Genomic DNA, 2,771 nt, shown 5'->3' on the forward strand with positions numbered 1-2,771 from the left:
GGACACTGTATGACTAACCTTGTAGGAATCTGGGGAACACTGGAGATAATGTAAGTTAAGTGCCAAACACAGTAGGTGATAAAAAATGAAACGTATTATTACAAGCATATATTTCTCTACCCATTGACAGTCTTCATCTTTTTTTAGTTCCTCAAATCATTGCACGTGTAGGAAACATCTACAGCACTTAACATGACTACAAGTGAATGCTAATTTAAAAAATAATTATGAACTTTTTCAAACATACAGGAGAGCATGGAAAATAATATACCATCACCAATGTAAGTACCCATTAAAAATACAGAGCTGTCTTGTACGTTTTAAAACTTTATATAAATGTTATCAAATTATCCATATTATTCTATAATTTACTTCTCCCACATATTACATTTTAGAAATTTACCCATATTCACATATGTAGGTTTCCTAGTTATTTTTAATGCCCTATAGTATTGATTTCATGAACCTGCCATAATGTATTCCTGCATCCTCCTACTGATGGACATTTAGATTGTTTCCCATTATTTACCTATTACAAAGAATGCTGCATAGGCATCCTTCTCACTCGTGCTTCTTTGGGTACCTGTGAGAGAGTTTCTTTGGGATACAAATCCAGAGGTAGAATTGCTAGATTCATAAGATATGCCCATCTTCAACATTACTAGTCATTGCTAAATCATGTTTCCAAATCACTGTAGCATTTTATTGTCATCTTTGCTCGAGAGTATTTTTTAGGTTCTTTATTGAGATATATTTTACATACCATAAAATTTACCCATTTCAAGTATACAACTCAACAGTTTTTAGTATATGTGCAGAGTTGTGCAACCAGCACTGCAATCTAATTTTAGAACATTTTAATGTGATAGCATTATTTATAAATACACATAAAATATACAGAAATCTGTAAAGCTTGTTATGTGTCCTGTCCAATATATACATGGAAAACCTCCGGAAGGAGCTAGTTTGTAGAGGTCCCCTACAAATAATAGAAAAAAACAATTTTCTTGATTTAAACCTGTAGTTTGAGTAGGTAGCTGAAAGCAACATTTCTAATTAGATTTGGAAACTGCTTAAATGCAGGTTCCTGTTACTTGCTAATAAAAGCATTTCTAATTATTCACCTCAGAGTGAAAATGACTCAGAACTCACTCTATCTGAAGAGAAATAGAAGTGTGTTAAACTAACTAAAGAAGTGATTTCCCCAGAACAATTCTTGCTCATGACAGAAAGGAAGGCAACTGTGAAGGAGTATAGATGTTGGAGTAAACAGTTGTGAGAGCAGGTTCATTGGCAAAGGAGAAGAGAGAAGAGCAATTGTCTTTCTTTTTTTCCACAAGTTAATTCGTTGAGCTTTTTTTTTTTTTTTTTTTTGAGACAGAGTCTCACTGTATCGCCTAGGCTGGAGTGCAGTGGCCAGATCTAGGCTCACTGCGACCCCTGCTGCCCAGGTTCAAGCAATTCTCCTGCCTCAGTCTCCTGAGTAGCTGGGATTACAAGCACCTGCCACCACGCCTGACTAATTTTTGTATTTTCAGTAGAGATGGGGTTTCACCGTCTTGGCCAGGCTGGTCTTGAACTACTGACCTCGTGATCCACCCACCTTGGCCTCCCAAAGTGCTGGGATTACAGGCATGAGCCACCACACCCAGCCTCATTGAGCTTTTAATCAAATAATTTTCATGCTCTGAGTTATTAATTAATGGCACTTTCAAGTATTACTTACCTCAATCCAAACTTAATATGTTAATTGACAAGAGTATTGCCACATATGACATATATATATATATATATATATATATATATATATATATATATATATATATATATAAGAAAGTTGTCCTTATCCAGCCGTTAAGTGTTCAAAATCTAATAAATTTTTCTACTTGGAATCTCATAAGAAACATCAGGTCCATGGACAACAACATCAGTTCTCTGGTTCATTCCTTCTGGTCATTGGCTTAAGGACATCAACTTCCAGATGCTGTGGTTTCATTTCATCAAGTGCCTGACAGCTTTCTGAAATTTCCTCCTTGCCCTTCAGACCATCCACAGGTGTGGAGGGTACGTCACTTTCTGTGACAGCTTAGCAGATGACCTAAGACCAGGCGGTGTAAGACTGAGAAGAGGAGGAAAGTCACAGAGGCAGCGCAGATTGCTCAGGGCAAACACACGGAATCCCACCTTACCAGCAATGCAGCCATGGCAACAGCTTCTCACTAGCCCTGGGGCCAGCCCCACCACACTCATGGATCAATGGACTTTCTCTACAGTTGGGAATAGCCTGACTCCACAGCATGGCATGTGGTTTCTTTACCTGCACTGAGGTTTTTTACCTGCAAAATGTACAGATAAAGGACCTGAAATCCTTTGCCTGCACTGAAATGATTCTCCTGAATTAGATACTAATATTGAGCCACTCTACACCCTTTGAATACTTGGGCCCCAACTCAGATTTCCTTTGCAACAAGACTGTGAAAACCACTTTGATCTCTTTTTTGCAGGGTCCTTTGCTGGGCAGACAGATGACTCAGTGAAATCTAGTCTATTTATTCGTTACTGGAGAGGAAGTGATTAAGCTTTCCAGGCTGGAACAACATCCACCATCAGGAACTGGGATTGGGCCTTAGGAATGAGCTGTTGCAAATGAGAGGGCCAAGGGAAGTTATTTCTGTTACTAGTGGTGTTACCTTCTATGCAGTGAAGTGGTTTTGACAACCAATGCATTAGGATCTGCAAAATTGAAGGATGAGGGACTGAAGCGGAAAACA

At 38.4% G+C, this 2,771-nt stretch overlaps 2 annotated features.

Annotated features, from left to right (window-relative positions):
• Positions 1,999 to 2,048: an enhancer, noted in NCBI's record as "active region_22933". NCBI's record gives its function as "activates an Ori minimal core promoter by ATAC-STARR-seq in GM12878 lymphoblastoid cells {active_cell/tissue: GM12878}" and the evidence as "EXISTENCE:reporter gene assay evidence [ECO:0000049][PMID:35858748]".
• Positions 2,079 to 2,148: an enhancer, noted in NCBI's record as "active region_22934". NCBI's record gives its function as "activates an Ori minimal core promoter by ATAC-STARR-seq in GM12878 lymphoblastoid cells {active_cell/tissue: GM12878}" and the evidence as "EXISTENCE:reporter gene assay evidence [ECO:0000049][PMID:35858748]".

This window comes from Homo sapiens, chromosome 5 (genome assembly GCF_000001405.40).
Source record: "Homo sapiens chromosome 5, GRCh38.p14 Primary Assembly".
NCBI lineage: Eukaryota > Metazoa > Chordata > Mammalia > Primates > Hominidae > Homo > Homo sapiens.